The 12,230-nt window shown below is 40.0% G+C and overlaps 1 long non-coding RNA gene across 3 annotated transcripts in view, besides 1 other annotated feature; it reads left to right on the plus strand.

Annotated features, from left to right (window-relative positions):
• Positions 1-156: 156 nt before the first annotated feature.
• Positions 157-12,230, plus strand: part of LINC02099 (long intergenic non-protein coding RNA 2099) — a 50,184-nt gene continuing 38,110 nt past the window's right edge. For 2 of the 3 annotated variants that reach the window (NR_125815.1, NR_125814.1), the window contains exon 1: positions 157-427. This is a non-coding gene — a long non-coding RNA (long intergenic non-protein coding RNA 2099). Of the gene's footprint in view, positions 428-900; positions 942-1,477; positions 4,146-12,230 lie in introns of those variants that run through there. The other variant, NR_125816.1, reaches the window with a different exon arrangement.
• Positions 1,623-1,712: an enhancer, noted in NCBI's record as "active region_27205". NCBI's record gives its function as "activates an Ori minimal core promoter by ATAC-STARR-seq in GM12878 lymphoblastoid cells {active_cell/tissue: GM12878}" and the evidence as "EXISTENCE:reporter gene assay evidence [ECO:0000049][PMID:35858748]".

Genomic DNA, 12,230 nt, shown 5'->3' on the forward strand with positions numbered 1-12,230 from the left:
AGAGAAGAGGGGAGGTGCTATACACTTTCAAACAATCATATCTCATGAGAATTCTATCACAAGACAGCACTAGGGGGATGGTGCTAAACCATTAGAAACCACCCCCATGATCCAATCACCTCCCACCAGGCCCCACCTCCATCACTGCGAATTATAATTCGACATGAGATTTGGGAGATGACACAAAACCAAACCATATCAGTCTTTAAAGAGTTAAGTTAAAATAAGCTCTTTAAAGTGGGCCCTAATCCAGTATGACTGGTGTTCTTATAAGAAGAGGAGATTTGGTCACAGACATGGTTGCATGCAGAATAAAGACTTTTCGAGGACACACTGAGAAGGCAGCCATCTGCAAAACAAGGAAAGAGTCCTCAGCAGAAACCAGTCCTGCAGACTCCTTGATCTTGGACTTCCAGCCACTGCAATTGTGAGTAAATATATTTTCTGTTGTTGAAGCCACCCAGTCTGTGGAATTTTTTTGTGCCAGCCATAGCAAATTAATACAGATCTGTTTAAGAACACATAAAAATACTAATCATCAGCTGGGCACAGTGGCTCATGCTTGTAATCCCAGCACTTTGGGAGGCTGAGGTGGGTGGATCACCTGAGGTCAGGAGTTAGAGACCAGCCTGGACAACATGGTGGAGCCCCATCTCTACTAAAAATACAAAAAGTTAGCTGGGCCTGGTGGCAGATGCCTGTAATTCCAGCTACTTGGGAGGCTGAGGCAGGAGAATCACTTGAATCTGGGAGGTGGAGGTTGCAGTGAGCCAAGATTGCACCACTGCACACTCCAGCCTGGGTGACAGGGTGAGACCCCATCTCAAAAAAAAAAAAAAAAAAAATATATATATATATATATATATATATATATATATATATATATAAATCATTCCACAGACCAGCAGTCAGTTGCAATCTGGAAGTTGCAGTCTTAACCAGTAAGTAAATGTTGTGACCATCATAGTGGGGACTCTGGTGGAAAGTGTTTTTGGCTCCATCACAGTTTCTTGGACAGCCAGAAGCCCTTGGAGATAGATGACCAATAGTGTAGAAAACATAAGCCTTCATAACAGGAAGGCAGCGACTGCTCTCTGGGTGTTTACGGGATCTCTCTGTGTTAGATTAGAAGATAATATTTCTCCATTTTATGAAAAGGTGATTTGGATTCTGCAATGAATCTGTAGTAAATTTAGAATTGAATCACAGCTGGCATATTTTCCAACCACAATGTGCCCTAGCTGATCTTTGCTTCCTCTCCTTCCTCATCTGTACTTGCTTTTTGACAGATGGCAAACCCTAAAGGACATACATAAGTACATTCTATAGATATTGGAAAGTGGGGGAAAATTTGAAGAGTAAACCAATATTTAACAATAGAAAAAAACTGCAAAAGCATCTTTACCTCGGTAGCCTTGGCAGCTGGGACAAAAACTAAAAGCTCAACTCATTAATTATGCCATGTCTCTCCTTACAGCTCTAAAGCTGAATTAAAGAGAAGTAAAACCATAATGAGCAGCCAAGAGGAAGTCCCCAGGGGTCCAGATGACAGAATGAAGCATGCATGTTGGGGAGATGATCAGAACAGGCACCTGGACCCCTGTGGGGTCAAGGGCTCTGCTCTCCCCTACATGGGAGCTCTGCAGGCTGCTCTCCCCTCTGCACAGGGAACCTGTGTTTGCAACCTGTCTCCCTCCTGGGCCTGCCCATCGCTGTCCTGACCAGCAGCCTCCATCAGTAGGATCCTTTTTGTTTTCTCTTTCTTCTTCCATTTATCCACAAGCCTTACTGAGAGCCCACCTTATGCGCAGCTGCCAAGAGTCCAAACCCCATCCTCCAAGGTTGGTGGTGTAGGAGAATTACTGTGTGGGTAAAGGAGACTGGACTCCGTGGGTCCTGCTCTTGCCTCTGGAGATTCAGCTTCCCCAATGGCTCCTCTCCCTGATTATGATTGCCATCTCCAGCCTTGACGCCCCTATTTCTGGGGTCCTTACATTTATGTTTACAGGCGCTGCAGTCTGAAAACAGCTCCCAGAGTGACCCTAATCAGATCATGGTGCCCTCTTGTCCAAAATCTTTTCAGTGTTTTCCCAAATCACTCAGGAGCTTACAAGACCCTACCAAGACTGGCTCCCCTGTTCTCCGCTAGTCTCATCTTCTCTGATTCTCTCTCTTCTATCTCGGGTACTAACACACTGGCAGCCTTTCTGAGCTGGATGCTCCCTTACATCCCTTGGATACTCCAAGCACGCCCTGCCTTGGGCCTTCTGCACTTGCTATTGGCTGCCTGCAATGTCGTTGGCCAGTCAGCCACATGACCCAGTCCCTCACTTCCTTTGGGTCTTTGCTCAAGCTCACATTCTCAGTGAGGCCTTTTCTGACCTCCAGTGTTTAAAATCTCACCCCTTATCACAGACAACCCCAATCCCCTTCCCTACTTTATTTTCCCCATTATTCTCCTTACCATCTGACATACCACGTATTTATTTCTTCTTTGCCTCCCCCTTCTAGCTTACTAGAAGGTAAGCTCCAAGAAGGTGGGAGTTTTTCTGCTTTGTTGCACTGTCACCAGCACCCAGAACAGCACCCATAGCATCATGTCTGCCATTTGTTGAATGAATATGCTCAAAGTACAGCTAGTGAATTGGAAAATGAACCCGTGATGGGGAGTAATTACGAAAAAAGATTCATGTGTTCTTTCCTAAGTGACTCATTTGTTCTTTAAAAACAGTCATGTGCTGCATAATGACATTTTGGTCAATAACAGACTGCAGATATGATGGTGGTTCCATAAGAGTATAATGTGATATTTTTACTGTATTTTTTCTATGTTTAGATTCACAAATGCTTACCATTGTGTTACAATTGCCTACAGTATTCAGTACAGTCACAGGCTGTATGGGTTTGTAGTCTAGGAGCAGTAAGCTATACCATAGAGCCTACGTGTGTCGTAGGTCATACCATCTAGGTTTGTGTAAGTGCACTCCATGACGTTTGCACAACATCACCTAATGATGCATTTTCTCTGAGGCAATGCATGACTGTATCCGAAGCTGAAAATGAGTTTGTTGCCCTCCCACTTCCGGAAATGGATAATTCCTACAGTACCTGTATCAGGCCCACCCTGTTCACCTCATTCTTCTTCCTCGGTTCTGATGGCAAGTGGTTTCCAACTCATAGCTGTGGACCTACGAAACACTTGCATGGCTTTCTGTAAGGCTGGGCAAGTCAGTGAAGGTGAAATGTAAAGCCCACTCCCTACAAACGACTAGTATTCACTCACCTCTCTCACCCCCAGTTACTGATATAGTTTAACAAATAGCTATGATTACCTCTGCAGAAAAGGGTTTTTAGAAAATTACATTCTGTTTGTTTTTATTATTGTTGCAAAAAGAGATAAAATCTTGGCATCTTTGAATTTACACTGCTTAAGGTTACCAAACAGAATGGGCAGTAGAATCCTATGTTTACAGTGTTTATATGTATAAATGTACATGTGTATATATGTATAAAGATTAAAGAATACAACAATAGGCTAATATTTGGGTATGATGAAAATAATATAATTTTTATTCAACTGTTTTTTCCATAATAAGTGTATATTATGTATATGATATGAAGAACACCAATCATTCTTCTTTTTTTAAAAAAAAAGAAAGGCTGGGTGCAGTGGCTCACGCCTGTAATCCTAGCACTTTGGGAGGCCAAGGCGGGTGGATCACCTGAGGTCGGGAGTTCGAGACCAGCCTGACCAACATGGAGAAACCCCGTCTCTACTAAAAATGCAAAATTAGCCGGGTGTGGTGGCGCATGTGCCTAATCCCAGCTACTTGGGAGGTTGAGGCAGGAGAATCGCTTGAACCCGGGAGGCAGAGATTGTCGTGAGCTGAGATTGCGCCATTGCACTCCAGCCTGGGCAACAACAGCGAAACTCTGTCTCAATAAATAAATAAATAAATAAATAAATAAATAAATAAATAAAAAGAAAAAAGAAAAAGCCCTTGTTTTAATTGGGCACATACTAAAGGTCAGCTTTCTAATATAGGGAAACAAGAAAATGATCCTTTTGAATGTGACTATTATTTTTACTTTGTGATTTCAGCTTTTACGTTGGACTCAATAAACTAAAAAAAGGCAAACTGAAATCGTAGTATGAGGCTCTCATGTTTCCACTTACACTGAACATAAGCCAAGGCCTGAGGGCTAAAGTGGGCCTGATTGACTCATGATACCAGGTTGCTGCATCACTTCCTTGAGAAATTGTTCCTGGCTTCAAAACTAGCTGTGGAATCTTAGAAATCTTGTGACATTGGATCACGTGCCTGGGCACAGCCACGTTTTCTTCCATGGCTTCCTCTCCTTCCTCCTCTGGAGCAGATATCTATGTTTGCATCTGCCTTTCTTCCTGCTCCTTCTTCTAACATGCCACAGGATGCTCTTTAAGCCACATCCGCTTCTGCAAACCAGTGATTGAGTTCTTGTGTGCCAGGGCACAGCAGTCTCCTTCATCCATTGTATACTCTTTAGTGTTGTCTTTTGTCTAAAAGGTCTTTGCTTTTCTTTGCCTTGCTCTCTGTGTTTGCGGCACTGGCTTAGATGATTACTGATGGAGTTGACCGTGGAGACCATAATGTGCAGGGACCAGCTCTTTGACAGGTGGGTGCCTCCCTGGTGCCCTGAGCTGACTGTCCTTAGCACTGGGAAGACAGATTCTTCTTTTTGGGGGTTGCCTCAATCCTTGTGGAACACATCTTTCAGCATATGAAATTTCTGCTTGTTATAATTTTTTTTTTTTTAAGACGGAGTCTCACTCTGTTGCCTGGGCTCGAATGCAGTGGCACGATATCTGCTCACTGCAACCTCCGCCTTCCAGATTCAAGCAATTCTCCTGCCTCAAACTCCTAAGTAGCTGGGACTACAGGTGTGTGCCACCACGCCCAGCTAATTTTTGTATTTTTAGTAGAGACGGGGTTTCACCACGTTGGCCAGGCTGGTCTTGAACTCCTGACCTCAGGTGATCCGCCCACCTCGGCCTCCCAAAGTGCTGGGATTATAGGCATGAGCCACCATGCCTGGCCTGCCTGTTATGATTTACAGAACACAAACTCACCTTTTTTGGTGCCCAAGACCCATGACTCTCTGGTCCCTACCTATCTTTCAAAACAAATCTACCATGAATACTCCATATGAGCAAGGCACTTCTCTTCATGACAAATACACCTTATGCATTGTATCTCTGTGCTTGTGCCAGACTGGAACCTCCTCCAAAATTTGAATCCCATTGATCCTTCAAGTCCTCACTCAGATATAATTTATTCTGTGATTTCCTGTGACCATTCCAACTCATGGTGACCTTTCCCACTCAGGCGGAAATTCTCACATAATTTGCATATATCCAAAAATAAAAAAGTGATGATCTCACTCACACTGCCAGGTAAGAAGAGATAAACCCACATGTCTCACAGTCTGCTTTCTATGCCCCCCCACAACATGACAAAATCAGGACTGTAATCTGGGCATAGATGTTATCTACATGACTGAACCACAGGGACTGTGTTATTGGCATCTGTACCAGACATTTGGTAGACAACAGAGCCAATCTGAAGAAAAACTGCTTCCCACCTTCCCCCACATTAGTCAGAGAGCAGCCTTGGAGGAGACATTAACAGAAACTCTTACTAGAAAAAGTAAGAGTTGATAATCATATAAATTTATATCAACCATCTCTTATAAGGAAGATATGAGAGGGGAATTCTGAGAGTAAGCCGATGGAGGGAATTCACCCACCCTGTTCATGGGGAAAACCAAACATATTTAGCCAAGGAAAGGATTCTGCAACTAAGAAGTAGAATATAACCCTCAAAAGAGACATCAAGATGATAACCTGTGGAAAAGATTGACTGCAGGAAAACAGAACTTAAATTTTAAAAAGACGTTTCTAGAACCCATATGACCACACTGGTTTTCCCAGACAATTGATGCAATTATATAAGAAGGAACCTCCCATTTTTCTTGGGCATGGATGTCTGGCCTTGGGCTTTTCTCCCTGTGGGCTTTTGGAAAGGACAGAGGAGTTATCTGTTCCATATACAGAATTTCAATGAATGCCCTGTTTTCAGCCCCACTGTTACTCCACCCTCTGAGACATCTGCCTTCTCCTAGTCTAGGGGTTCTCTGGGCCGTCCCTGACACAAAGTGCAGGCTGCAGCTTCCTCCTCTTGTCCATCCTCCAGGGATTTGTTGCAATTTCATATTCTTTGAATTCCCTTTCTGTTATCTGAATTGCTGTGGCCTCTAACTTTTCTAGTGCTTTACCATCAGCAATGCCCCAGTGAAGGGAGCATCACAAATGAAAATAGATGTGTGTCTTCTGTCTGTCAGTTTCTTCTGGAAGGCTCTCAAAGTTTTAAAGAGATCAATTTTTTCCAAGTTAATTTAAGATGTAATTAATGATGTTTCAATGCCATTACAAATGAGGTATTTTGGCTGGGTGCGGTAGCACATACCTGTCATACCGGCACTTTGGGAAGCAAAGGATGGTAGATCACTTGAGCCCAGGAGTTTGAGATTAGCCTGGGCAACATGGCAAAACCCTGTCTCTACAAAAAATCCAAAAAATTTAGCCAGCCGTGGTGGCATGCACCTGTGGTCCAAGCTACTCGGGAGGCTGAGGCAGGAAAATTGCTTGAACCTGGGAGGTTGAGGCTGCAAGTGGCCCATGATTACACTACTGCACTCCAGCCTGGGCAGGAGAGCAAAATGTCTCAAAAAAGAGGGGTGGATATTTTAACAAAATGATTTAAAAGTGTATTTAGAAGACCATACAGAAGACCAAACAAGAAATTCTGAAAGGCAAGAATTGTGAGAGAATGGGCTCCTAAGGTCAGATATTAGAATATGTTATTTGGCTGCAAAAAATAAAACAGAATGATTTTAGCAAACTGGCAGATGAGTGGAACAGAAAAGGAAAACAAAAACACATGCCTAAGTCTATGCAATAATTTAACATGTGATTAAGATGCTATTTCAAACTGGCTGGAGGGAAAATTAAGAATGATGACGGCAAACTGGGTGAATCACTTGGAATGAAGACAAAGCCAAATTTTACTCTATGTATCATACTCTAAATTGCAAATAGACTAAAGAGTTACATGTTTGAGAGAGAATGAGAAACAATAACAGAACAAGATATAAATGTAAATTCAAACAGCTAATCTTGCTGTGACAAAGTTTTTGCTAACATAAAAGGGGAGAGGAATCCCATAGAAAAAAACTTGATAGTACTGATTACATAAAAATTCAAATTACAAAAAATTCAAAATTCTGTAAGCTTAAAAAATTTTAAAGATATAGACAAATCAGGTAAAATATTTGCAATATACATGACACACAAAGGACAATAGTATTAGTATATACAGACCTTTTAAAATCATTAAGAAAACTGTGAAACTCCAGAAGAACAAGGGGCTAAACACATGAAAACACAATTTACAAAAGAAGAAACAGAGATGATCCATAAACAAGAAAACATGTTCAACTTCTCTAGGAAGCAAAGAGACAAAAATTAAAATGAGATATTATTTTTAGCTACCAAATTGACAAATGAAAATGTCCAAGGTTAAAGCAAGTGGGTGTTCTCATTCATCACTGGTGTGTGTGTAAATTACTACAGCATTTTGAACAGAATTTGGCCATGTGTATTATTATTATTATTGCTATTATTATTTTTTGAGATGATGTCTCACTCTGTTGCACAGGCTGGAGTGCAGTGGCACCATCACAGCCCTCTGAAGCCTGGAACTCCTAGGCTCAATCTATTTTCCCACCTCCACCTCCCAAAGTGCTGGGATTATAGGCATGAGCCACTGCATCCAACTGTTTTTTAAAACCCTATATTACATTTATATTTTTCAGACCATTAAATCAACATCTAGGAAATTCTCCTAGAGAAATACTTATTGATGTACATAAAAATGTATTTACAAAGATATATACTTCAGTATTATTTGTAATAGCCAATGGTTTCAATCAACATAATTCCTAAAAAAGATTTGTTAAATTAATTATTGTGCATCCAAATGATGGAATACTTCCTACCCATAAGATAGATTTAAATAATATTTAGTGACTTTGGGAAATGTTACAACTATAGTAGGTGAAAAGGCACATTTAAATGTGTATAATATAATCTCAGCTTTGCAAAAAGAAATTTAAACACATACACATTTCTTTTAAAAGCTACACCAAATGTTAATGGTGATTATTGGTGGTGGGATATGGGAGATTTGAATTTTCTTTCTTACATTTTTATATATTTTCCAAATTTCTCACAACAAACATAAGTCATCTTTATAAACAGAAAACACATTTTTTTAAAAAATATGATTTTCTCGACTAGATTTTAAGTTCCTGAAGGGCATTTTATACAACTGAACACATCATCCACAGCTTTGCAACTCCCTTCCAGGGTTTGGGCCCAGCCTGTTTTAAATGTAGTTTTTTTTAAATGCAGTAGATAATACAGAAATATTTATCTGATTAACAAACTTCCTTCTTGGGTTTTCTTAATTATTGTTGCTGTTTTTCCAAAAGCATATGTGAAATATTTTAAGATATTGAATCATCATCTAACACCTGTTTTTCATGTGGACATCTGATAAATACTGCTGCCTGCCCTGGTGAGAGCAGAGAAGAAACCCACTGCCCGAAAGGGTTAATTTGGGGCAGTTAAGGACACCTGTTCCAAGTCTGCCATGGGCCTTCATTTCCAGGCTTCCAGGCTCACCAGCTCAGGAAGAGGATTTTGCTAAGCAGTGGATATATACACAAAGGCAGGGCCAATGCAAATAAGAAATTCCTGGTCCACAAATAAACATTTCTTAAGCAACCCACACAATGAAATGGATGATAGCGTTTTCTACCCGAACTTTTCTCTAATTACATTTTTATTGACTTTTCAGAGGAAATGAAAAAGGCTAACATATAATTGGCTAAAAGAAATAGAGGTAATAAACCAAGCCAGAAAAAGACTTGAGGAAATGTGTATCTAAGGTAAAATACCTCCAATATGAAAATCTGTGCCATGATGTTGAAGTTACAAAATTGCCTACACATGCTGCTTTGGTTGTGAGAGAGCTCAGAGCAGTGCTGTGACAAAGTGCTATGTTAAGGTCTAGCCTCTTTCCAAGTCTGAATATCCTCTGTATTTGAATTCTAAATTTCAAAAGCACCGAATTTCAAATGCTCCGAATTCCGACTTGTACATGAAAGAACTTTGGATCAGGAGCCGGGTGTGTATGTAGATCTTAACAAGGCATTTAACAAGTTGTCTCATGATAACCTACTAGCCAAGAAGATTAATTATGAATGATTATACATACACAAAGAGACATATATATATACATATACACACATACATACATATATATATACACATACATACATATATATATATAATATATATTATACATGCACACACACGCACATATTTTTCAAATGGTGAGTAGATCATTTTTCAAATGATCAGGTGGAGGCCAACCTGGAGTGAAGTGATTCATAATGTACCATTGTATTTTCAATATAATTATTAGTATAGCATGAATCAGCCATTCTAAGCAGCTAATCAGAAAACTATGAGCACGAATCCGGGGAGGAAGGGGATGAGCTTCACTTTATGCATGCCTTGCAACCTAATATTTAGGTAGTCTTGCTTCTCAATCCCCTCACCCCAATGCCTTGAGTAATCAGCCAGTGTTATTGAAGGAAGTGTATCATATCTCTCAGTTGCTAGGGAAGAAAAAGGTTAAGGATTGCTGACATTGACAAAAACAGAGAAGGCAAGGTCATCCAATCTATGAGCAAATTATAGCTACTATTTTGATGACAGAATCATGTTTTAAACTCCTCTTGACAGGTTGAAGAGAAAAGATGAATGTAACAAGAAGATATTTAATAGGAATACATGTTAGACCTTGCCCTTGGGCCCAAAGAGCAATTGCGCAAACACAGCAGGAGGTGGACCTGGCTAAATGGTGGTTCTTGTGAAAAGTTCTGAGGGAGTTCAGGTACCACCATGGGTGCCAACCAAAAATTCGGTCCTAAGCTCTATTTACAGACTTACAGAATTTAGAATGAAGAGATTGTCTACTGTCTTAGCATAATGCCTTCCATGTTCATCCAGGTTCTCACAAATGATAGAAGTTCCTTCTTTGTTAAGGCTGAATAGTTGTTCCATTTTGAATATGTACCATACTTTCTTTATCCATTCATCTGTAGATGGACACTTAGGTTGATTTCATATTTTAGTTCTTGTGAATAGTGCCACAATGAGCCTGAGAGGGCAAATATCTCTTCAACACACTGATTTCAGTTCCTTTGGATATACACCTAGAATTGGGATAGTTGGATTATATAACGGTTCTATTTTTAGTTTTTTGAGGAACCTCCATACTCTTTTCCGTACTAGCTGTACTAATCTACATTCTCACCAGCAGTATACAAAGGTTCTCTTTTCTCCACACCCTCACCAACATTTGTTATCTTTCATATTTTTGAAAATGGCCACTCTAACAGGTGTAAAGTTACATCTCTTTGTGGTATTAACTTGCCTTTGCCTGATGATTTGTGATACTAAACATTTTTTATATGTCTGTTGGCTATTTGTATGTCTTCATTTGAGAAATGTCTGCTCAGGTCCTTGGCTCATTTTTTAATCAGGTTATTTATTTTCTTGCTATTGAATTTCTCACATGTTTTGGGTAGATGCTCCTCATCTATGGATGGTTTGCAAATACTTCTCCCAATTTACGGGTTGTCTCTTCATTCTATTTTCTTTGCTGTGTAGAAGCTTTTTAGTTTGATGCAATCCCATGTGTCTATTTTTACTTATGTTGCCTGTGTTTTTTGAGTCATAGCCAAGGAGTCAATGCACAGATCAATGTCATGGACCGTTTCCCCTATGTTTTCTTCTTGTAGTTTTACAGTTTCAGGTCTTACGTTTACATTTTCCATCAATTTTGAGTTGATTGTTGTATATGCTATGATGTGAAAGTCCAATTTTGTTCTTCTGCATGTGGACATTCAGTTGACCCAACAGCACTTACTGAAGAGACTATCCTTTCCCTATTGTGTGTTCCTGGCATCTTTGTCACAAATCAATTGGCCATAAATGCATGAGTTTATTTCTGGGCTCTCTATTTTGTTACATAGGCCTATGTGTCTGTGCTTAAATCAGTATCATGCCATTTTGATTACTGTAACTTTGTAATATATTTTAAGATCAGGTAATGTGATTCCTCCAGCTTTGTTCTTTTAGCTCAGAATGTCTTTGGCTATTCAGTCTTTTGTGGTTCCATACTAATTTTAAGATGTTTTGTTGTTGTTCTGTGAGAAATGTCATTGGAATTTTAAAAGGGATTGCATTAAATCTGTAAATTGCTTTGGGTAGTGTGGACATTTTGACAATATTAATTATTGCAGTCTGTGAACCCAGGATATCTTTCCACTTATTTGTGTCTTCAACTTCTTTCATCAATGTTTTACCATTTTCAATATACAGATCTTTCAACTCCTTGGTTAAATTTACTCCTAAATATTTTTTTGGTGCTATTGTAAAAGGAATTGTTTTCCTGATTTCTTCTTCAGATAGTTCATTGATAGGATATAGAAATTAAACCAATTTTTGCTAAGGGACTTTAAGATTAGCTCCTGTATTCTGTGCCAGGCAGGCTTTGGGATTCACAAGGGGGACTGAAGTCTTATAAACATAGTAGTGGATTAGTGCTGGCTGAAGGAAAAATTTCTAGATGAGCTGGAGGAGAGCATATAGGCTGGGAATCCAGGTGGGAAGAAAATTAATTGCTCAGTTCTCACACTGTAATGCTATCAGTTAACTTCTAAAGACACCTATTCTCTCTGCACAGACCTATCAAAAAATTCCATCAACCAATTCCTGAATGATCCAAATGCTTCTCAACCAGCTCACAGACTGCTAACCCTCTCCTCCATATCAAGGGGAAAAAGTACTATGTGAATGATCTGCTTCAGGCCCAGATGAACAGCAGAGATAAACCCAGATTCATTTTAAATAGGAGGCAGGAGCATTCACAGACAGATAGCAGCCAGACACAGGAGCTCTGTGTGTGTGTGTGTGTGTGTGTGTGTGCCTGTGTGCGTGTGCACGCATGGGTGCATGTGTATACGAAAAGGCCTTCGGCAGAGATCAAGAGGGT

This window comes from Homo sapiens, chromosome 8 (genome assembly GCF_000001405.40).
Source record: "Homo sapiens chromosome 8, GRCh38.p14 Primary Assembly".
Taxonomy (NCBI): Eukaryota; Metazoa; Chordata; class Mammalia; order Primates; family Hominidae; genus Homo; species Homo sapiens.